The sequence below is a fragment of the Homo sapiens genome, chromosome 8 (genome assembly GCF_000001405.40).
Source record: "Homo sapiens chromosome 8, GRCh38.p14 Primary Assembly".
Taxonomy (NCBI): domain Eukaryota; kingdom Metazoa; phylum Chordata; class Mammalia; order Primates; family Hominidae; genus Homo; species Homo sapiens.
Genome location: NC_000008.11, coordinates 78,396,967 through 78,420,331, shown reverse-complemented (window position 1 = coordinate 78,420,331; position 23,365 = coordinate 78,396,967). Strand labels below are relative to the sequence as shown.

The following is a 23,365-nucleotide window of genomic DNA, read 5'->3' as shown; positions in this document are numbered from 1 at the left end:
GGGATAAAAATGGAGGAAGTACCCAGGACAAAATAATTACAAATGGGGGCAGGAACAGTGGGACTGCTTATGGTATGGAAATCCAAAGTGTGGATCAGAAACCAAGGGAGATTTCACTGGAGGGAACACAAGCACAGCTCATATGAATCACTGTGAGCCTAATGATGCACCACTCATCATTGTCCCTCCCATTCCTCATGTTGTCTGTGCTTAAGACTTCAAGAATTCTTTTTACTCAGAAGTGGGGCAACATCGCTGACCAAACTTTTAGTTCATAGCTCTACATGTGACTGCTATCTTACTCAACCTTTCTCATCTCTCATCCTTTAACACCTAAGCTACCTGTATCATTGAATATGTATCTGTGTATATCCTGTTCATCTAATTATGCATTTATCTGTGAGTGCCTTTATCGATGGAGGCAGTTTCTGAGTGGTTGTATATTACTTCTTTCTACCTTCTTGACACTTCACAAGGAGTCTTGTACATAAAAGACATTCAAAAAGTGTTAAATATGTGACAAAAATGTATGTCATATGATAATTTTACAGTCACTTTATAAGGAGGATGGATTGAGATAACAAATGGGAGGATCTGTTATTTGCTGTCCTTTTGTCAACTTGGAGACTTATAAATGATGACTGTAGGATGCAGTGTATTAGAGGAGATAAATTAATCCACATTTGAAGCAAACAAAAGACATGAAAGGGCCAAGGTGGAAGTGAAGAATGTCAGAGGAAGGAGAAAGAGAAACTGAAAGGCAGAATTTAAAAGGGATAGGAGCTGATGCTGTGGACCTAGCTTGGAAAGAAAACAGAAATTTTGAAGCAAAGTTTTGTGCTCTGAGCTGTAAAAAGTCCTTCCATGAACTCTCTTAATTTTTAGCCAAAAAATACTCCATTCCTTAGAAGGATTCAGTTATTTATTTATATTATCATTATTATTATTATTATTGGTATGGTAGGGAATGAGATAGGCTAAGTCCTGGGTGTGGAGACAAGAACAGAAACTTCCATGGGGTGCAGCTATATTCACATTAGACAGGCAGGTAGGGAGACAGATACAGGAATGGAACCCAGTCTGCCAGGGAGAAGAGCTAATTAGCCCTGAATGGTCGCTCCCTGCCTTTAAGCAAAGAGTCTACTAGGAATGAGAAAAAAAAGAAAGAAAATGGTCATTTTCTGACTATGGTAGTGTGCCAGTGTACCCAGACGAAGAAATGCATGATGCCATCCCAAAGAGAGAAGAGGCTCAGCAGTAGAGTGGAGAGCCATGTAATTGTGTTTCTGCATTCTAAACTCTGTGAGGGTCAGAGTTTCTGATCTTTCCGTCTCATCCATCTTTCCCCCATATTCTCTCTTCTCTTCCTAAACACCGATCAGTTTATCTCAAAATATAAAGTTTGAGATATTAAAATACTAAATATAATATATGTAAAAGTTTAAAATACAGGTACTTGGAACATAATGGACATTCAAATAACATTTATTTCTCTTTCTGTATCTTCAACTGTTCAGGTAGCTGCTGAAATTTTTATTCAATTTTAAATAGAAGATAGAAGGAGTGATGTGACCTACTCTTAACCTAATTTTTAAAACAGGAAAAATTGTTTTTTAATAAGAGAGTAATGGAGTTCTTGTGAGAAGGGCCTTGTCACCTTAGAGTTCTCAATTACTAGTGAATGGAATGCTGGACGGAATTAGACATGTGTCAAAAATGCTATAAAAGGAAAAGTGTAAATTCTGCAGAGATAAGGAGCTCCCAGGCAATATCAACCTAGAAATATGGTCATAGTACTAGATGATGATGGTGATGATGATGATGATGATGCTAATAATAATAAAATACCCTATTGTTCTTTGGCTATCTCTTTAAAATTGTCACCTCTCCCTGCTCTCACTTGTGTCTTAGCTTCCAAGGTGGTAGAAGTTTGTCTCAGTTTCCTCTAACCTATTTCAATAACACTGTGTAGCCATAGCCTACAAAATAACACAAAGTGTGATTTTGTTCCCTTTACCTTTGCCACCGCCAAAAAAGAACATCATTGCTGAAATTCCTCAGCATTAGCAGCCTCTTCGCTGATCACAGGAGGTAACCATTGTCAAAGATTAGGGTGCAATCACAAGGTCAGGACATGTCTGTACCACTTTAATGGTTCTTTTATCTCTTCTTCCTAGGCCTAATAGGATAAGAAACTAGATTGAACTCTATAGAGCTCATCCTATCTACACAGTTTCTTTCAGGAAACTGCTTTATTCCTGTTTCCAGACAGCCAGAGTTGCATAAGATGATTCGACTTTAGTTATATACTCTCTAAAACTTCCACCACAACAGATTTGATGCCACTGCTTGACCCACTAAAAGGGGGGATGAGTTAAAAAGGTTGGGAGGCTCCCAAAATGCATATTAGACTCTAAAATTACATTGATCTTAGTGATAAAGAAAATGGGGAAGGTAATATATGTAGAGAGATATAGCTAGATAGACAGCAATCCAATAAGGCATTATTTTGAAAGAATTGGTGGAAAAGATGGCCTGGATGACATTTAGCTGAGGATGTTCTTTACAGTAACACAGAGCAATGTAAGATACACCAAGGATGCTTAGATCTGCAGTGAAAAAATATATGGACAACAAAAATGCTTTTTAATTTCTTTTTTTTTGGTTATTTTGTTCAATGAATGAAGAATATTAAGGCATGACTACTCACTGAAACAAAAGTTGTAATGCAAAGAGTTCAAGAAAGTAGTTCTACTCAACCATTTCTATTTTGCTTCATGTCAAAAGGAAATATTTTTAGAATCTTTATCTTATTTTAGAATAAGCATTCATATGAAATCATGATTGAATGAAAAGTGTAAAGTGACTACTTAGCAGCTCTTCCAACTCACAACAATGGAGCTCAGTTACTATGAGAACTTGCACATGCGTTTGAAATGTTCTCAGTGATCTCTAAGGATTCGGGGGAACTAGAAGGAAATATGGGAATATAGGAAACAGATACTTGTTACCACCTTTATTAAAGGAAAACTGGGGGTCATAATATATAAATCAATAAACATGTCTTCAGTACCAAGCAAATTCTAGAATGGCTTATCTTATGGGTAATTTGCAAAAATATGAATGATTTAGAATAATGCTAGCCTGAGTTCATCACATACTATACTCTAGGTTAAGCTCAATATTTTGATACATTAGAACAAATTCAAGAAATGTATAAACATAGTCTTTGTATTTTTGCAAGAAATCAGAATAATTTTTCTGTTATGTCCTTTGAGAGGAAATGGAGGAATAGTCTCTGGACTAGATAAAAACGTTTGATAAATTTGCACTCTGTTACATAAAATGGGCTTGGTCATGGGTGTCCTGGATTCAGGGAGTATCTTGTATTTATCTTGATGTACCAGCATGGAGCACATAGTAAATACTCGGAAATATAAATATCTGAGTGAAGAAATAAATATTGAATAAACTCATTAAATAATTTGTTATATAAGCACTTTTGGGTAAGGACAGTGCTAAAAGAAACATTGCAAAGTGGCTTTCTTTCAGATTCCCTGGATATTTCTGTCCAAATGCCTGATGACAATGATGAAGTTGGCTCTGAATCTACTTTTTATTTAGAAACACACTAATGATTATGATCAGTGAGACTGAGACATTTGTGTCAATATTGTGGGTAATTATAAGTCATAGAAAGTGGAAGCTCAGTGATTGACATGTTCTTTTTAAATTTTTTGAATGTGTCCAGATTTTTGTAGAACTATCTTACATTATAAAAATTCTGAAAGTACTGGAAGCATAGTCTCTAGAATTGCAGTTATTTTCTGTATGTGATATGGTGAATAACTTGAAGTTGTATATTTAATGAGCTTGAAATACTTTAACTTAATATATCTCATTTCATTTTGCAATGAGCAAGGAAACTTTGACCTCACAATGAATGGATCAGAGTTGGCAAGGATTGTGCGTGGTAGTTTGGTGATGCAGATTTCAGCTAATGGGCCATGTAATTAAGATGACCAATTGCTAATGCGGTTGGAGAAATTCCAAGAACTCTGATATGAAGCCTACCAATTACAGTACATTTCCCACTACTATCCAAGGGGATTAATAATTCTTTTCATTGGCTTTATTGAAATTCTTCAACAAATTTAAGAATATTTTAATTCATAATGGAAGAAATATAGTATATCTACTTGTACAGCAAAGTACAGGAAATGGGAGAGGCATAGCTCATCTCTAAGTATCTATAATAGTTCTATCTGTACTTCTTCATGTAATAGAACTTTCATAATTATATTTTATCTCACTGATATTAAGTGTATATAAATGAATTCACAATATATTGATCTTTTTTGTCAAGGATTAATAAATAATCCAAATAGAGGTGAAAGGCAAGGGATAACATACATAGATGAGTCAATTCTTTTAAGATATACAGTGTCAGTAAGTAATAAAGAAGATTCTATATAATTATAGCATTTTTCCCCCTCCTTTATTTTCACTGCTAGATTTTCCCTAGGTGCTCAATAAATGTTTATGGAACGAGATTGAATCATCAATAACACAGTCTTAGTAAAATATTATTTTGAAAGGTATAACTCCAGTATTCACCTAAAATATAAGTAATTTAAATCATATAGTTTATCTTTGAATCTCCAGTGCTAAGCACAGTATATGATATTTAATTGTAAATCAATGTATGTTAATTGGAAGAATGCATGAATAAATCCTTTACTTTTCAATTAGCTCTAATTAGAAGTATTTGTTTTGGTAATGTTGTATTACTCTAAAAGAAGACTGAAGCACTTGCAGAGGAATGTCAACATTTATAATATTTGGGTAGTCAGAACTAGGCTGATTGTTTTATATTAATCTTTATGTTTTTATTCTTAAAACATCGAGAAATCAGCAAATATTTAGTTTGTCTTATTTTTGTGTTTTTTTTCTTCAATCTAAATTGTTCTATAACACTTACTAGTATGTTTTTGTGTTCATATAGTACTAAGTGGTAGGAATATAACTGCCTATAAAGACATATATAGTTTTCTTTCTTTCAGTGTCTTCCGTTAAAAACATATAAACATGAGCTAAGCTAAAATAAACATATTTTTAAGTGCATAGCTGAGTTATCAAGACAATAAAGGAAATCTCTCAACAACACAGAAGGAATTAAAAGCTGAAATCAATATTTCAAGACAACATGAAATCTGAAGCTTTTCTTTCGGCATGGGGAGAATACAACAACCTGGAATTTCAGGGACTAGCTAAATGAGGTTCAAGTTATTAGGCCTGCGGAAGAAGAGAAATGAGATCTGAAAATTGTAATTAAATCTTCCTTCTCCAAAAGTGTATACCCTCAGTGAAAGAGCAGGCTGGAAAAATCCAGTGGCAAGGAAAGGAAACAGACATTAAAACCTGGATTTCTTGCCAATAGCTAGAGATGGCGGGGCACGTGGCTCTTAGGAATATATATCATAGGCTTGCTTGCCTCACACCAGTTTGGGGCTTTCATTTATACTAGCTGAGTGGTCAGGAAAACTGGAAGCTGAGATACTAAGTAACAGGGGTCTCAGTTGGTTGGCATATTCTGTCTGCAGCAGAAGCCTTTCTGGAGGGAATCATTCTTAACCTAGGTTCTTTGTATTCTTCCACAGATGAAATGCAATCAAATATGAATGTATAACTATAAGAAATATCAAATACATGCAGTGAAAAAACCAACAGGGAACAATTTAAACCCCAAGGACATCAGATTGAAGTCATTGCTTATAGAATATAAAACAAAAAGAATAAAATGCTCACAGAATTAAATATATATTCAAAAAAGTGGACAAAGGTTAAGAGGATATATAAAGTAACCAAATAAGCCAGGCATGGTAGCACACACCTGTGGTCTCGGCTACTTGGGAATCTGAGCCAGGAGGATTACTTGAGCCCAGGAGTTTGAGGCTGCAGTGAACTATGATTGGGCCACCACACTCCAAACTGGGTGACAGACTGAGACCCTGTGTCTAAAAAATTAAGTAAAAAATAAGAGATAAACAAGTAGAATTGGAGAAGGAAACATTGAAAATTTGGATTAATCAGGGTAGGCAAGGCTATGTTGCAGCAAAAAGCCACCCCAACAACAAAATTTCCTTGTACTCACTTAAAGCCTGCTAAGAGTTAGGTAACTCCCCTTGGCAATTGTCCTCTATGCAGCAACTTAGACATCCAAGCTGAATGAACCTCACAGCTCTGCCATCTCAACATAAGGTTCTCCTCTTGGCTAAAGCTAAGGTATAATTGAAGGGTAGCAAACAGGCTCATCTGAGGTTCCTCTTCAAAGTAGAGGAAAAGCAGGTTCCTCTTCAAAGAAAACTGAAGCACTTGTAGAGGAATGTCAACATTTATAATACTTGGGTAGTCAGAACTAGGCTGACCATCACTGCTCAAAACCCAGCAGACAGCATCATTATCAAGAAGGCTGAAAAATGTGTGGGAACACAGAGAATAATTTTCTTCTGTAGAGTTCTAGAACTAAAACCTATAGTAATTCAAATCAAAATCTCCATGGATGAGTTAAATAGAGAATGTAGCATAAAAGATAAACCATAAACTAAAAAATTATAAACTAATTATAAATTACTATGCAAGAATTAATAATAACATAAGTGCTGCACATAGATGCTAGGATGTAGAAACTTTTTAAAAGATAGCTTAAGTGGCAAAAACGATAACAAGAAGAGCTAACATGTATCTAACTATTCTAAAAAGAGAACAGAGAAGAATGGGGGATATACAATGTTTACAACTTTTTGGCAATTGATAAGAAGTAAAAATTCAGACTCTAAAACCACCACATAAGCTAAACATAATAAATATATAGATATACATATGTAGTCACCGCATGGTGAGGCCACAGAACACCAAAGACATAGCCACTAGAGATAAATATCATCTACAAAGTAGCGAATCAGGCTGAAATTGAACTTCTCAACATCAAAAGACAGTGGGAAAATACTTACAAGTTGTAGAAGTAATATCTGTTGACAAAGAATTGCATATTTCACGTGACAATTTTCCAAAACAGGGTGAAACAAAGATATTTCAAGCAAGCGAGATGCTAAGAGACCTTACCTCACACAAAAATCTAATTTATGAGACAAAAAATAAGAATAAAACACTGGGAAAAATGACAATTATTTCAAGAAGCATATGAAATATTAAAACATATAGACCAATACAAATATGAAAATATTTTCAACTTCATTAATAACCAGAAAAACCCATTTTATTTCTAACCAGACCAAAATTAACAAGTCTAATAAAACCAAGTATTGGTGGAAGGGCATTAAGTCTTATACTCTTTATATGAGAATTGGTTTCTGTAAAATTACTTTGGGAAAAGATTTGTTGTTTAATAATGTTGATATGTAAAATCCATTTATTCTGTGTAATCCTGAGAGAAATTCTTACACATGTATTGCAGAAGAAATGAATGAATATATCCATATTGTTTGGCAAAAAACGCTAGAAATAATCTAAATATCTAAATATCCATTGACAAAACAATGCATAAAATTATGTATATAATTTATAAATATGTTGTATATAAAATTATATATGTAAAACTGTGTGCATTATATATTATATACATGCATGCTTACACATGTGCAGATATAATGGCATGCTATGCAATATTGAAAATAAATTATTTATACAAAGTCCAATAACAAATAAACCTAAGCACTGTTTGTTTATAGCTACACATGTGCATCTGTAAAATCGCAATGGTAGGAAATAGTCCCTACCAACAATAAAGGGCTGGAGAGGAGGATGCATTAAGAGAGAGGTGTGAATAGGACTTCAATAATAATAATAATAGTAATGTATTTCTCAAACTGAATGATAGGATGATTTTTTTCATATAGCACATTTAATAATATATCGTTTTTATATATAAAATATTTACATTCAAAGTACAAATATTACAGTGTTTTCCCTCATGTGTAGAAGTTTACATAAAGTAATGTAAATTTCAACATTGACAAATACTATTGAGAAATGTACATGGGGTTACTATTTAGAATAGGAATAAGCGACTTTAAAACATTTTTATTTTACAGTATGTGCTTGTTTGTTACATGGTTATTAAATGCAAAATGGTGAGGATTGGGCTGCTAGTGTACTTATTACTGAAATATTGAACATTGTACCCAAAAGTATGATGAGCAAGTTCTCCCAACCACCTTCAAAATATCCATGCCCTAAATTCTGAAACCTCTGAATATGTTATGTTACGTTGCAAAAGGGACTTTGCAGTTGTGATTAGGGTCACTGATCTTGATATGGTAGAGATTTCTCTAGATTATATGAGGGGGCTGAGCTAATTATTCTCTAGATTATATGAGGGGGCCAATCTAATTATAATAACCCTTGAAAGCAGAGACTCTCCTGATTGAAGTCAGAGAGAGATGAAGGGGCAGAAGAAAACACAGGACAGATGAGACATGAGAGGTACTTGATCAGTGGTTACTACCTTTGAAGGCAAATGTCCACAGGTCAAGGAATGATGCAGCATTTAGGAGCAGAGAATAATCCCAGGCCATCGGCCATGAGGGAAATAAGAACTTCAGTCCTACAATTGCAGGGAACTGAATTCTTTTAAGAGCCTCCCTGAGTCTAGAAGATTCTCCCTTAGAGCTGTGAAAAAGGAACAGCCCTGCTCACACCACAATTTTGGCCTTGTATCAATCTAAGCAGAGACTCAGCCAAGCCATCTCACTGTTGACCTACAGCAACTATGAGATAAATATGTATTGCTGTAAGCCATTAAGTTTGTGGTAATTTATTATAGCAGCAATATAAATGGATATAGTAATAAACATGAAAACCCACAAAATAAATGCATAATTAATTATTGTGGTAACTACTTAATGGAAAAGAACAGCACACTACAAAAGAGGAAAATAAGGCAACCTGCTTGAAGACACTCAGGACAGAACAAAGGATGAACTTTCTCCATATTCCATTTTTCTTCACTGCAGCTTATCCCTATAATGTCAGCATAGCATTCACTTGAAAAAATGTATAGCACATCTACTAAGTGCAAAGCAATGCAATAGGTACACAGAGATAGTATAGATGAGTTTAGGAGATACCTCACCTTAAAAGGTCACAAGCACAGGTTGGCAAGCCATGGTCTGGGAACCAGATCTGGTCTGCCATCTGCTTTTGTGTGGCTTGCAAACTAAGAAGGATTTTTACCGTTTAAGATGGTTGGAAACAAAATCAAAAGAAGAATTATATTGTGTGGCCTGTAAAAAGTCTATGAAATGCAAAGTTCAGTGTCCATAAATAAAGTTTAAGTGGAACACAGCCACATTCATTCATTTGTGTGCCATCTATGCTTGCTTACATATGAAAATGGCCAAATTAAATAGCTGGAAAAGTGACCAAATGACTGACAAAGGCTAAAATATTCAATGCCTATTCCTTCATAGAAAAAGGATGCCAACTCCAGATCTAGAATGCAGATAAGTCAAGCATATAAATGTTCACGAGAATATGTATAATTGAATAAATGCCATATAGAGCAATTGCATTTGCTTATGCGGATCAGGAAAGGCTACATGAAGCAGCTGACATTGAGATGAGCTTTCAAGGAAATGGAGATAAGATTAGGCATCTCAGAAGTAAGAAGAGATTCCTTGGCAGGCCATGTGCCAACAGAATTATTGTGCTGAATTTTTTCCTCATTCGGTATTTTTCAAATTGAATTCTGTTGTAAAAAATTTGAAAAAGAGAAATCTTTTTTTTTGCTTGATTCCTTAAAATCTTAAGGATAGAAACTCTGATACTAATTTCGTGATTTAAATTATTTGTTTCATATAATAAATTTCTGCTAAAGATGAACCTCTTGCTATCTAGAGCTCTTAAATTTACTGTACCCCCAATGTCATCATTTCTGTAGCACTTTTATTTTTACCAATGATTAAATTAAAATTTTTAGAATGGATTTCTTCTTACCTCCATTATGCTATGCATGTCTCCACTGCCCCTTCTCCCTTTCACTTACTAGAATTACTATCACCACCAAATTCTACCCCCACCCCTGTGTCTGCTCAGAGGCTGCTTTGCTTAAAGCCACAACATCTAACAATCTTTATGAGAAACCCAACTCTTTGCTTCACAGATGCATTTTTTACCTCACAAATTCACTCTTCAAATTCTTCATTTTTTTGTGTTTGTATTTGCTAATATATTTACTAAAGTTTTAGCTGTTTAATGATGGAGTTGAATCTCAAATTGTTTTTATTACCTCCAAATACTATGATAGTTATTAATACTAGAATGAATAGCTGGTTCGTTTCACAGCTCAGTTGCTACAATTGTAGGCTCATCAGTGAAAAGTTATCAAAGCTTTCATGGTGGGAGATCCTGGCTTCCATTCTCCAGCCCTGGTTGAGTAAGTGAATGGTAATACAAATGGTCTGCTTTGCTTTTTTTCTGGATCTCAGCTACATCTAAAGTAAGTGGTGTTCTTGATAAAACCCTCTAAAATTAGAAAGTTGTAGAAATATATGGTAATATGTATCTTAATAATTCAACTTATCATGGCAACACACAATTAAAACTTTCCTTTGGGACTAAAGAGAAAGAATCACAGTCATTTCTAAGGAAGCCAATATATAATGAGAAGAATAATTCAAGTAAATGGGACTGAGTTTCATAAAGAAATGGAAAATAAAAGCAAAAATTTTTAACAAGGAAATTAATTATTACTGCATTTGATGACTTTACAGTTTTTATGACCTTACTTATTAGTTTTTTTTATTATTCCCAATTACAGCAGTATTATTATTTTTTATTTGGTAGGGAAAGAAGTATAGAATTTCTTTCATAAAACCACCACACAAAAAATTATCCTTTTCTAGAATAAGCATAATTTTTATCAAAATTTACTTTATTTTAAATGGAATGTATAATACCATTGATATTACATTCCATTAATATATTGGAAACATTTTGAACAAGGTTAATCAAAGAAGTGTTTTCTTTTTATATGTTTGTATCTATATCAACACTCATATTGACATATTTATATCTTCTGTATCTTATCGTCTTATATATACTTTATAAAATCCTGTAGTAAGACAAATAAGTCTAAGTTTTATACAATCTAAAGAATTGAATCCCAGCCCATGTAAACAACATGTCTTCTGTGCTCACTGTTATAACTAAATTGTATATAGATCATTTACTGTATTTCATTGATTCTAAGATGTCTATTTCTTTTTATTACATTTAATATCTCTGAAATAAGAAGGAAACTTACAGTGGATGACCTATGATAATTCAATTGCTAGCATTTTTTTCTTTCTAGGTGAATCAAAATATAATATACTAATATACTTTTCACAATTGATAGTGACAGATTCAAAGACATATTCAGTTTTAAGACCGCCTTTCAGAGTGTAGGACAGTTTGACAGAAAGTGTTCTTCACCTTGTAATAATGATTTTCCTCTTTTTAAAAAAAAGTTTTAGCTAGTTTAGAGCCAAAGAGCTAGTTTTTTCCAAACCACCTCAAAGGTTACTGTATTGGTTTGCTAGGGCTGCCCTAACAAAGTACCATAAACTAAGTAGCTTAAACAACAGAAATGTGTTGTCTCACAGTTCTGGGTGTTAGAAGTCCAAGATCCAGGTATCAGCAGGGCAATGTTCCCTCTGAGGTGCTAGGAAAGGATCTGTTCCAGGCCTTTCTTCCGGCTTTTGGTTGCTCCTTGGATAGTGGTAGCATAACTCCAGTCTTCACAAGGGATTCTCACTGTGTTCATGTCTGTCTCTTTACATGGCATTCTTTTTATAAGGACACCAGTCATTTGGGATTTGAGGCCCACCCTACTCTCGTATAAATTCAACAAATTACATCCACAATGCCCTGTTTTCAGCCTATTTTATAAGGTCACATTCTGGGGTACTGGAGTTGGGACCTCCACATATGAATTTTGAGGACATATCTCGGCCTATTACAGTGGTTGCATTCTGGTCAATGAAATGTAAGCAAATGTGTTAGCTTCTAGAAGCCTTTATTAACAGGCAATTTTTATATATTCCTCACTACTCATCTTTAATTCTCTCTCCATCTTGCTACCTGGCATCTGAGAACAAAAACGACACTTCAAGTACGTTAGACAAGGGAGCAGGATGAAGTGTCAGTTCCTAAGAACCTTAGAGAGTACAGCTGCCACACCAGCTTTGAGTTTAAGTCATGATTGTTATAAAGCCAAACTTAATTTGACTTAATATATGAGCTTTTCCAACATCAGTTACAATCTTAACTGTACCACTTACTCTCTGTGGTCTATTTACATGTCTCTTATAAGGTTCATTTTCCCATTTGTAAAAGAGCAATAGTCATATCTACTTCACAGTTGGTATAAAAAGTTCTATATGCACAGTACCCAGCATAGAACATTAGAGTTTGCTGTTGTTGTAAATATGAAGACTTCCATTCAAGTAGAATGGAATAAATGCTTATTGAACTTTTAATTCTGTTTTTATTATTTTATTAAAAAAATTGTAAGTATTTAAAAGGGACAGATGTTATCAACTTGCAATAGTATTTGTTCATTCATTTTTTTTCATTCAACAAACATTCAGCACTTTCCATGCACCAGATACTATTTTAGGCAATAGAGATGGTCCAGTGAGCAAAATCAAAATAGTTCTTGCTTCTGCCCCCATGAGGTTTACGCTCAAGTTGGATATGAAAGACTGCAGAAGAAAAGTAATAAGTAATGTTGGTGATGGTTACGCACGTGACCTCTTTTATCTTGAAATGTGCTAAATTGCAGAAATGTGGAGCTGCAGGAGAAAAAGTATCTTGCTTGATAGAATCATCCTAGAACATTCATGGGGTGACAAAGGCATCAGATCCCTTGTCACTTGTAATGAGAGTGGCTTGCCAGCACATCTCACGTTCAAACTAGTGCATTTCAGTGTGAATTTTTCTGATTATGATCACATTAATAGCACTTCTAGTAAAAAAAAAGTCAGTGAAACACAAGATGCTGTCAGCACCTGTAAGTAGATGTTGCAAAATTTAGTTTAAAAAAGAAGGGTTTTAAAAAATTATTACTGACAATAACAATTACAGAAATTATGACTTTTCTTGTGGGTCTTATTGTGAATTATGTTCCATCAATGCTGTATATAAGTAGTTGCTAGACCATTTTTAAAGAGAGTTGCTGTCTCTAACTTCAAAGCTCATTATTTTCGCTATTTGCCTTTTCCTTCTAATAGAGATATTTTTCTTGTATTTTTCTATTTTCCCCACAGGAATACTCTTTTAAACAGATTGCTCTGCTCATATGTTCTGCCTTTGGAATTGGCATTATTATGTTTGGCCCTTTAATGGAAGAATTATTGGAAGTAAGGAAGGTTTCACCTTGAAACAACTAAACCTTGTGTTTGACCATTTTGCAATGAGTAATAACTATTTAGATTGTCATTTATTAAATGTTGAAACTCCAAATAATAAATTTTCACAAAAATATATTTTAGAATTATTCAGATGGTCAATGTTAAATTACTTAATAGTTAAAAGTGAAATTGGTTCATCGTTTGAATAATGTTATTGGAGAAACTGAAAAGTAGAAAAAATAAACTCGAGTGACTTGGTAACAGCCTGTTGGGAGACTGAACACCTGTAGCTTTATTGATATGTAGTTTCTAAAAGTAAAAAAAGCTCAATGCAATAAAAGAATTGCTGTGCTAACATTTACATCTTCTCCAGTATATTCAAGATCAGTGTTCATCATCTGGGCTGGGCTCTGCTCTTCTCAAACTTCTTCAAAGTTACACAGTTTGATTGTCAGTCCAAATACTTAGAGAATGTGTGCAGGTGTACCATACCAATTATCAATAGCTAAACTTGTTTACCAAGATAGAGAACATTTACACAACATAAAAGTATGTATTTTTCTATTGGGCTAAAGGATTCTTATGATTCATAGCTACTGGCAATGAATTTACTTTAAAAATTAACTGATGATTAATGTAGACCTTGTGTTAGGACTGTGGACACTATTCTATTACTGTTTATTTGGAATTACATGGTCTGTGATCACCAACAGCAAAAAATCTGTATGCTAATTTCCTAGCCTACAGTGACATTCAGCTGTGCTTACTTTCCTTTCAGTATGAGGAATGTCTAAAATATTTTCTGACTCTTTGTGCCTAGTAGGAAAAAAGTAAAGTAATTTTAGGGTTGTTGTTTGTGTTAGATTATTAAACTATTTGCCAAGTCTGACTTATAATTACAAAATTCTGTTGAATTTTAGTACCTCTTTTCATCTTCATTCAAAACAGAAGTCATTTCTGAACCTACATGCAGCCTGAGTGAGCACTCATGGGTATATTTGAGCCATTGAAGCATTCCTGGTTATTGACCCTTGGAATGACTTCACTAATGCCCTATGGTATGGAGACCTCAATTCATTTCTAACCTTGCTCATAGTCATAACTGGACTGAATTTAGTGCTTTAATCACATCATTTTACTTCATAAAAAATAATATTTTCCTCATTGTTTTAAAGAAAATTGCATACATTTAACGTTCTCACAGATTGATGTTAAACTGTTGGTAGATGGAATTTGGAGAGAATGAAGTAGACCAGATGTTTTCATAACATTTTTCCTTTTCGAACGTTGTCATGTATAGCCCAAGGCATTTAATGAAGTCATCAAATTGCAGTCAATACCTAAATGTGTTGGAAGAGTGAGTGTTTTGGGGTTCTCTGGCTCATCTTAAGGACTAGATGCTCTAAGAGCTGGAGTAGTAAAGGGGACACAAGGTAGATTCAGATTGGCCTGGGCTCAGCTACTCAAGAGTTTTACTGAAATTGTGATATTAGGATCTTTACCTACCCTCTATGAGCCTAAGTTTCTTTACACAACAGTGATGATGGAAATGAGCAAAAGCACAGTCTTTATTTATTTTGTCTTTTTCTTTTTTTTTTTTGGAAACAGTTAAACACTGTATCCTGATTCCCCTCACTACATGGGATAATTACTTAACCTTTGTAGGAATCACTTTATTCATCTTTAAATTGATTCTAATGATAGTGCTTTTTTCTCAATGTGTTATTGTAAGAAATAAATGAGTTTCTCCAGGTGAAACATTTAGAATGCCACAAGGAATGGGATAAATGCTCAATAAAAGTTGACATTTTAGTTATAATTGTCATGTGTTGTATATGAAAAGGTCGAGAGTTTGGTTTGAGAAGTAAAGCAAGGTATAGATTGTGAAGGGATTATTTTCTTGTTGTGGGAATGACATAAATATTTGCATTTTAGCAAGATATACTGATTGCGTGGACAAGGCTTATTTATGTAAAAGGAGGGCCTACCTTGGAAGGCATGGTGCAAGGTTCACCACTAAAATGGAACAAGTAAAAGTTATATGTAAGAAGAGGAATTTATGTATTTTATGTCATTTTGCAGGTAGGACTAACATCATTTGACAACCAAATAAGTAGAGAGAGAAGTAAGTTGATAACTCTTTTGTACCTTGAGCAATAAAGTCTTATGATGATTGTCAAATATGATAAAGGTAGATGACGGTCCTATTCACAGAAGTGAGAAAAGTAAGAAAAGAAGGTTCGGAAAGATAAAAATTATGAAAGTAATTTTAGAAATTATGTATGCTATGCTGAGGACCAATATACAAGGACAGTGGAAAAAGTGGTAAAAGTTGTTTGGGAAATAGTTAAATAGATCTTTTTGGGAATTAATGAAGATGTTTGAAGAATCGGACAAAACCTGATTTCCTACCAAACACAGCTATGATGTAATTGTTTCTTTGAAAAATTTAAGATGCACTCAGGGAAAGTAGGCAGAAAAAATACTTAAATTTATTATAAATATGATGAATTAAATTAAATAGCTTGTTTCTTAATACTCTTCTAAAGAGAGATGGACTACTTTAATTGTGTGATTATTGAAACAAATGATTACTGAGAATTGAGGTCTGTATAAAGGGCAAAATACTAGATAGAATATTACAATGAAAAGAGAAAAGGGTACTAGGTATCTGGAAGAAAGAAGGAGAAAGGATAAATACAAGGTGGTAACAAAACATTTTGCCTCGTTTGCACTGTAATTAGCGTTGACCTCTAATCCCAGGGTTCAGATACTGTTGATTTTTCCAAAGAAACTGGTTGGTGTAGGTTCTTTCATTCACTCAATAAATACCTGTTGAGGAACTACTATGTTCTGAGCCCTTCTAGGAGCCTAAGATGCAGTGATGAACAAGAGAGTTAAAGGAATCTGCCCCAAAGAACCTACATGGTACTTGGAGGAGAAAGAAAATAAAATCTAAAAGTTAATGAATTAGATAAATATAATAAGTTCTGACTGTGATAGGTAAAAATAAAGGAAATTAACAATGAAACATGATAGACAGTAATGAAGACCTTACCTTGGGTACTCAAGGAAAACCTTATCTGATGAGATACAAAATGTGTTTATATATTTTGCTGTGATTGTTAGAAGAGACATGAGATAGTACCTGGACAGAGATTTTTCAATTAAGGGAAATTTGCTTTTTTCAGAATGAGATACTGGAACATGCTTTTTTTAAAAAAAAGTAAGTAAAATGAGACATACTAGAGCATTCTTACATTTTTTGAAAAATAGGCAAGTATAGAAGAAGAAATTGATGATGTAGAACAAAGAAGATAGTTTCAAATGGAAAGTCTGGTTGGCAATCTGGGATGGGATCCTGAGCACCAAGAGAGAACAAGACCTTTTTTAGGGAATAGACATTTCTTCCTTTCCAGAGGAGGGAAGCTGAGTACACAGTACAGAAGCAGGTAGGTTAATAGTTTTGTTGATAGGCAGATAAAGGACCTCCCTTCTGTTTTTCCTTTTTCTTTTTCTGTGTTTTCTGTTTTATTCCCAGCCATCTATATTATCAAACTTCCAATGCACTTAATTAAAGCTTTTCCCATGAGTAAGAAATTCATCCTAATATAAATGCTGACACACTGAGTGGAGTTTGTGTTTTTTATTTCCAAGTTTAAAGAAAAATGTTTTGAATAAACTCTTAGTCTTATAAGAAGGAATATGCCCAGCACTTAGCAATTTCATGAATCATTGGGCTATGCTGTTGCACATAAGGGAATTTTTAAAGATTATATCTAAAGCATTGCTATTGTAGCATTCTAGTCATGTTTATATGTCTGCAGGGAAACAGTGCATATTTTTATAAACAAAATTTCCTTAACATAGCAAAAGAAAACAGAAAATTGCTTTAAAAAGAGCACAAAATGCAAAGTTAGCAAAAATTTTCTATACTGAAAAAAGAACCGTTGTTGGAAATGTCAATCTCATCTTTACCTAAGTACAAAATTTTGATGTACTGGAAAAACTCAAAATTCAGTGAAATTTAATTCGATTAATATGATAAGTATTCTGAGAGGTCTGCATCTCATAGGTGATTTAAGTGAATTATGTTGCTAATTAGTCTAGCAATCATAATTCAGTATACTGGTGGATGCTTAAACCCTATTTCTTAAATACAGCACAGAACTTGAATGGTTTTGTTGTTGTTATTGTTAGTTGTTGATTCCTTACTCTCTCTAGGACTCAGGTAACTGGAAATGTACCTATACCATAATTTTTTACTATTTGTAAACCCCATGGACATAACATTTTGCATATCAAAGTTAACCAAATTATTGCCATGGAAAAATCTAATAAAACACAGCGTTAATTAAAACTTTAACTTTCTAATTTCCATACCATAATTTAATTGTCAGCCCACGTTAGGTTTCCTCTCTTTGATTCATGTCTCACTCATCTACTAATCCATTAATTAAACAAACATTTGCTGAAATCAAATATGGTAGCATTAGACGTATAGAAGAGAATAAGACAGCAGAGCCCTTGGACCTTATGAACCTATTGTTTATTGGATAAAATAGACATTTAACTAATAATTTCAGGCACTATCAATGATAAAAAACTGGGAAACACAAGGTTTTGTGAAGTACAAAGCTAGCCTGGGTTTCACACACCAGAAGAAACATGGAAAGTCAGATAGAAACGTGGACATTGTCTGTCCAACCAATCATTGACCTTACTTTTCAAACACCACTTCTCAAATAGTTGGCTGGGAAAAACTCTTGTATAATTTTGGAGAATGATTGTATTCTGTATACTTGGCCTGTGTAGATTAATAACTTAAGCTCATAGAGCAAAAATTATCCTCATTTATATATAATTACAGCATATTTAGTTCAGTCTGATAATGAAACTTTATCCACAGTTGTCCAAACATCTTGAATCTAGAAATAGTTATGGGTCTCCAAACAAATCATTCCTAATTTGCATGTGGTAAATGTAATGACAACTTGAGAACTAGCTCCTACATAAATAATGTCAGAAGATATATCAGTGTTTCTAATTTGTACTCTTCTTTTTCATTTGGCAGATAAACATTTTCAATGGAGATGATGAAATCAGTGCAGACAAGGCTGCTTTCATTTAGAAAGATGAATGAAAAACATACTTCTTAACTAGTGGATTGGCAAACAGACTCAAAGATTTTTAAAAATCTGGCTGTTGTCTGCCTGATTTAAATATGTGAAAGTATTGAATTTAGAAGGCTTACTTTTAAACTATTTTAAAATAGGAAATTATTGTATGAGAAGGCTTGATAGCCTTTGTTTAATCAGTATCAAGAGATATAAAACTTTTGCAATGTTCCATGTCACAAGAAAATTTTTCATGTGACCCTTGCTAAATGACTGGAGTTGTATGAAACTGTTCCACATTTTAATGAACCAGTATGGATAGCTGCGTCTGTGTATAATATATTATATAAGAAATCATTTTGAAATGTATGCAAAGAACTCAGTTTACCAAATCACAGTACTGCTGCTTTTCTGATTTATTTACTAAAAGTAAATTTTTAAGGTGTTGCAGAAAATTAAAAAAGTAAATTCAGGTGGATTTTTAATTTATTTCAAATAATAAAGAGCTCAGTTCTTTTACCTATCCTAAGTTACTAGTTATTGTCTGTCTGTATAGTAAGTCTTATATATGAGATAACTTAAATCTTTGTAAATTAGAAAAACATATGTGCACATATGCATATATGTTATATATATATCAGTCATATATAATTTGTTATTCGGGATAGTCACAAAGATCAAAGCTTATGCATTTAATAAAAATACAAATTAATTGATTGATAGTATCAAATAATGTTAGAGCTGTTAATGGCAGAGAGAAAAATGTAGTCTGAAATTGCTAGTTAGAAACAAACCAAGAGAGGGCATGACATGCCAAAGATGATGTGAGGAAGATGTATAAATTGAGACTAGAATGTAGGCTATGTTATCTATCTGTCTATCTATCTATGTATCTATCCATCCATCCATCCCATGGCCATTCATTTATTGAGAGTCTGCTATGTGTTAAGCATTTTGCATGAAAATGCATGTATATTACAGTTCCCAGTCCCTTGCTTTACATGCTATTGTTTAGGAATACCTACTCAAATAGGTATCCCTATTTCAACGCTTTGCCTTCTTCACAAAAACATTAAAACATATTAGAGAGTAAATGGGAAAAAAATAGATTTGGAAGATTAGTTTGGGAAATCTATCAAGAAATAGAACAAAAAGTCAAATAGAAAAAAGAGAGAAAATTAGAAAACTCATACAAGACATGCAATATCTGCATAATACAATTTTCAGAAAGATGGAGCAGAGAAAAGGTAGAGGGAGAAATCATGAAAATAGTTTTCTGAAGACAAAGGACATAAATTTCTTTACCTAAAAGGCCCACCAAGCACACAAGATAATGGATTAAATTAAACAAATCATGGTAAAGTTAAGAACACCACTTAGGAGCAAAGATATGGTTCTAATTGTTCACAAAAAAGAGGGAAACAAATAATAAACATGTATAGTATTGAGAATTATAATTACTTTAGAATTTTGAACATCAACTCTGGAACCTAGATTGATGAATTCATATGTTCAACATTTTCAAGGAAAATGAGATCTAACCTAGAATTCTATATATGTGCAAACTTAATAAAGTTATTGGAGAGATAAAGGATCTTTAAACATTTTGCTTTTCACATGCCATTTCCCAGGAAGCAACTGTAATATATTCTTCACAAATATGAAGTAGAAAACCAAAAATAAGAAACATGTGGGACAAAGAAAGTAAGAGATTCAACCCCGGAGAGAGGTTAAGGGAACCCCCCGGGTGCTATTAAAGGCAGAAAGCAACCTGAGGGTTGTGCCCCAAGCACAGAGAGACCCAGCCCAGATTTCAACAAGGTCATGAATGTGTCAATCCATATAGTTTAAAACCTCACCACATAACATCCTTTCCCCCTGATGAGCGGATCAGCACAGTAAAAGTGAATGGATCTCACTTTAATTGATGAGATGTAAAGACGATACCGATTGGATGAGACCATGAGGAGACAATAAAGGTCACGCTAAAGCTGGCTTCTACCTTTTGAGTCTCATTTTAGCAAGAGACTTCGGATTCCTGCAGAGTATAATTCAGAAAAAACCTGCAAATTTACTCTAATCAAAGAAAGCAGCCTCTATATGGCACACGCTCATATATGCCTAAACTACCCTTGAAACAAAAAACTGGTAGCAGTGACTGACTCTAGGAAAGGGAATTGGGTATCTAAAGCAAAAAGAATGTAAGAGAATTACTTTTCATTCACCAGTTACTTTTGAATTTTATTCCAAAGGCATGTATTATCCAGACAAATGATGAAAATAAAAAGATGGAAATAAAATGCACCACCCCCCAGAGTGTTTAGTCTTCTTAAATGTCTGTTTGAGGTGTTCAGAAGCTCATCAGCTCCACAAAGATTCTTCAGAAACAGAGTGATGCTAGGTTATGCCTAGTCCAGCGTGTCTGAGCCTAAACATCCTCGGAAGCCAGAACAGGCACCTAGGCCTTATTTATTTGTCAGCAGAAAATGAGTTCAGAAGAGGAGGCCTCAATATACCTAAATGTAATAAGGAACAACAACTACAAAAGGTAAAGAAAGAAAAAAAAAATTCCTTAACAAAATTAATTGGAAGGAATGAAGAGGATGGTGGTAGAAGAAATTATGTGTGCACTGAAATCATTTAAAATGCTGGAATAATTTACATATAAATTTCAAAATATGTATGAATTTTTAAGGCAGTGGAATATATTTAATTTTCACAGGAAACACAAAGCTCTGCTAATGGGTTTCATTTTTGAAAGTGCTTATGTTTTTGTTTAGGAATTAATGCAAAATTTACCATGTTTTTATTTCACTTATGCTAAAGGATAGAGGATCTTTTTTAACTAAAGAAAACCAGCAAAAATGTGACAACTTGTAATTAAGCTTAATCTTACATATCAGCAAAAAGTCATGACTCACGGTTCATCTATTTATCTTGATACCTTAGGGCTTATCTGTTTATCTTGCTAGTCATCTTGCTGCATGATGATGTTCATCTATGACTTGAGGTTCGTCTATTTATCTTTCAGCAACATTGTAACATTGAAGTTGCAACATCAATATTAATATTGCCCAAGTATGCTCTTGAAATGGCCCCTAAACAAATAGCAAGTCTGTGTCTATAACTTTATCCTCTATAATGTTTCAAATTTTATACTATATGAGTAGATATTAAATGCTCATGTCCACAGAATATATTTCTAAAATTAGAATGGCACAGAGAAGATTAACATGGTGTTTACACCAGGATGCTGCGAAAATTTGTGAAGTCTTCAATATTTTTACATAAAAACTAGGAGAATTTGTTGCTAGCAAACCAGTTCTACAAGGACTAATAAAGAGATTCCTTTAGATGTAAATAAAAGGAAACTATACAATAAACTGAATACTTATAAAGAAATGAAGAGCACTGATGAAGGTAACTATATAGGTAAAAGTTAAAAACAGTATAAATGTACTTTTTGTTTGTGATACTTTTTTTCTCCTCTCTGATTTAAAAGACAAGTCTATAAAATGTATGTAATACTTTTTTCTCCTTTCTGATTTAAAAGACAAATTTATAAAGCAGTAATTATAAATCTGTGTTTTTGAGTATATGATGTATATAGATGTAGTTTTTATGACAATACAAGCACGAAGGCAGCTGATGGAATAAAACTTCTTAGAAGCAAGTTTTTTTAATATCATTGATATTAGGTTGGAATTAAAAATAATTAGTGTGAGTTAAGATGTTAATTGTAATCCTTATCTCAGAAATGTAGTTAACAGATAAGAGTTTAGAAGTGGCCATTAGAACATAACTATTTTACAACAAAGAATGCAGTGATAGAGGAAGAGGAATCAAAAAAGATACAAGACATATAGAAAATAGCAAAATGTCAGACATAAATTCTAAATGATTAGTAATACACTTGTTGTAATAGAATTAAACATTTCAATCTAAAGGCAGAAATTTTAAAATGGATTTAAGAATATACAAACATATGCTTTCTACAGTGATACACTTTAGATTCTAGGACACGTGGAATATAAAAGGGTGGAAATAGATATGCCATTAGAATAGTAAAAAAGAAAAAAATTGGAAGTGGCTAAGCAAATATCAGACAAAATATACTTTAAGATGTAAATTTTTGTTAGAGGCAAATAAATTTTAATAATGGTGAAATGATTGACCCAACAAGAATATATAAGAATTATAAATATATATGCCCCTAACAACAGAACCTAAAAATACAAGAAGAAAAAATGGACATGATTGAAAGGAAAAATTAACAGGTCTTCAATAGTAGCTGAATATTTCAGTACTTCACTTTCAATAACAGAACAACTAGACGCAAAATGCAAAAGAAAAAGACTTAAACAACACTATAAACCAACTAGACCTAACAGATATCTATAGAACACTAACCAACAGCAGTAGAAAAAACATTCTTTTCAAGTTTACATGAAATGTTATTCAGGATAGAACATATGCCAGGTCATATGATGAACTTTAATAAATGTAAAAGGATGTAAGCAATATAAAGTATGCTCATTGGCAACAATGAAATTAAATTAGAATTTATTAACAGAAAAAAATTGTGAAACTCACAAAAATGTGGACACAGTTCAGTCCTAAATAAATAATGGGTCAAATCAGAAAATTAAAGTGGAATTAGTAACACTTTGAGATAAATTAAAAACAAATAAAAACTCATGGGATACAATGAAAGCAATATTTATAGCTATAAACATCTTTATTAAAAGGAATATCTCAAATCAATAACATAATGTTCTGCCCTAAGAAACTAAAAAAGAAAAACCCAAAGCAATTGGAAAAAAATTAATAACA

At 33.2% G+C, this 23,365-nt stretch overlaps 1 long non-coding RNA gene and 1 pseudogene across 1 annotated transcript in view; both read left to right on the top strand.

The window, feature by feature from the left end:
- Positions 1-23,160, top strand: part of LOC105375911 (uncharacterized) — a 268,808-nt gene extending 245,648 nt beyond the window's left edge. The window contains exon 4 of the long non-coding RNA XR_007060972.1: positions 13,332-23,160. This is a non-coding gene — a long non-coding RNA (uncharacterized LOC105375911). The remainder of the gene's footprint in view (positions 1-13,331) is intronic.
- Positions 21,710-21,817, top strand: RNU6-1220P (RNA, U6 small nuclear 1220, pseudogene; annotated as a pseudogene).
- Positions 23,161-23,365: the final 205 nt, after the last annotated feature.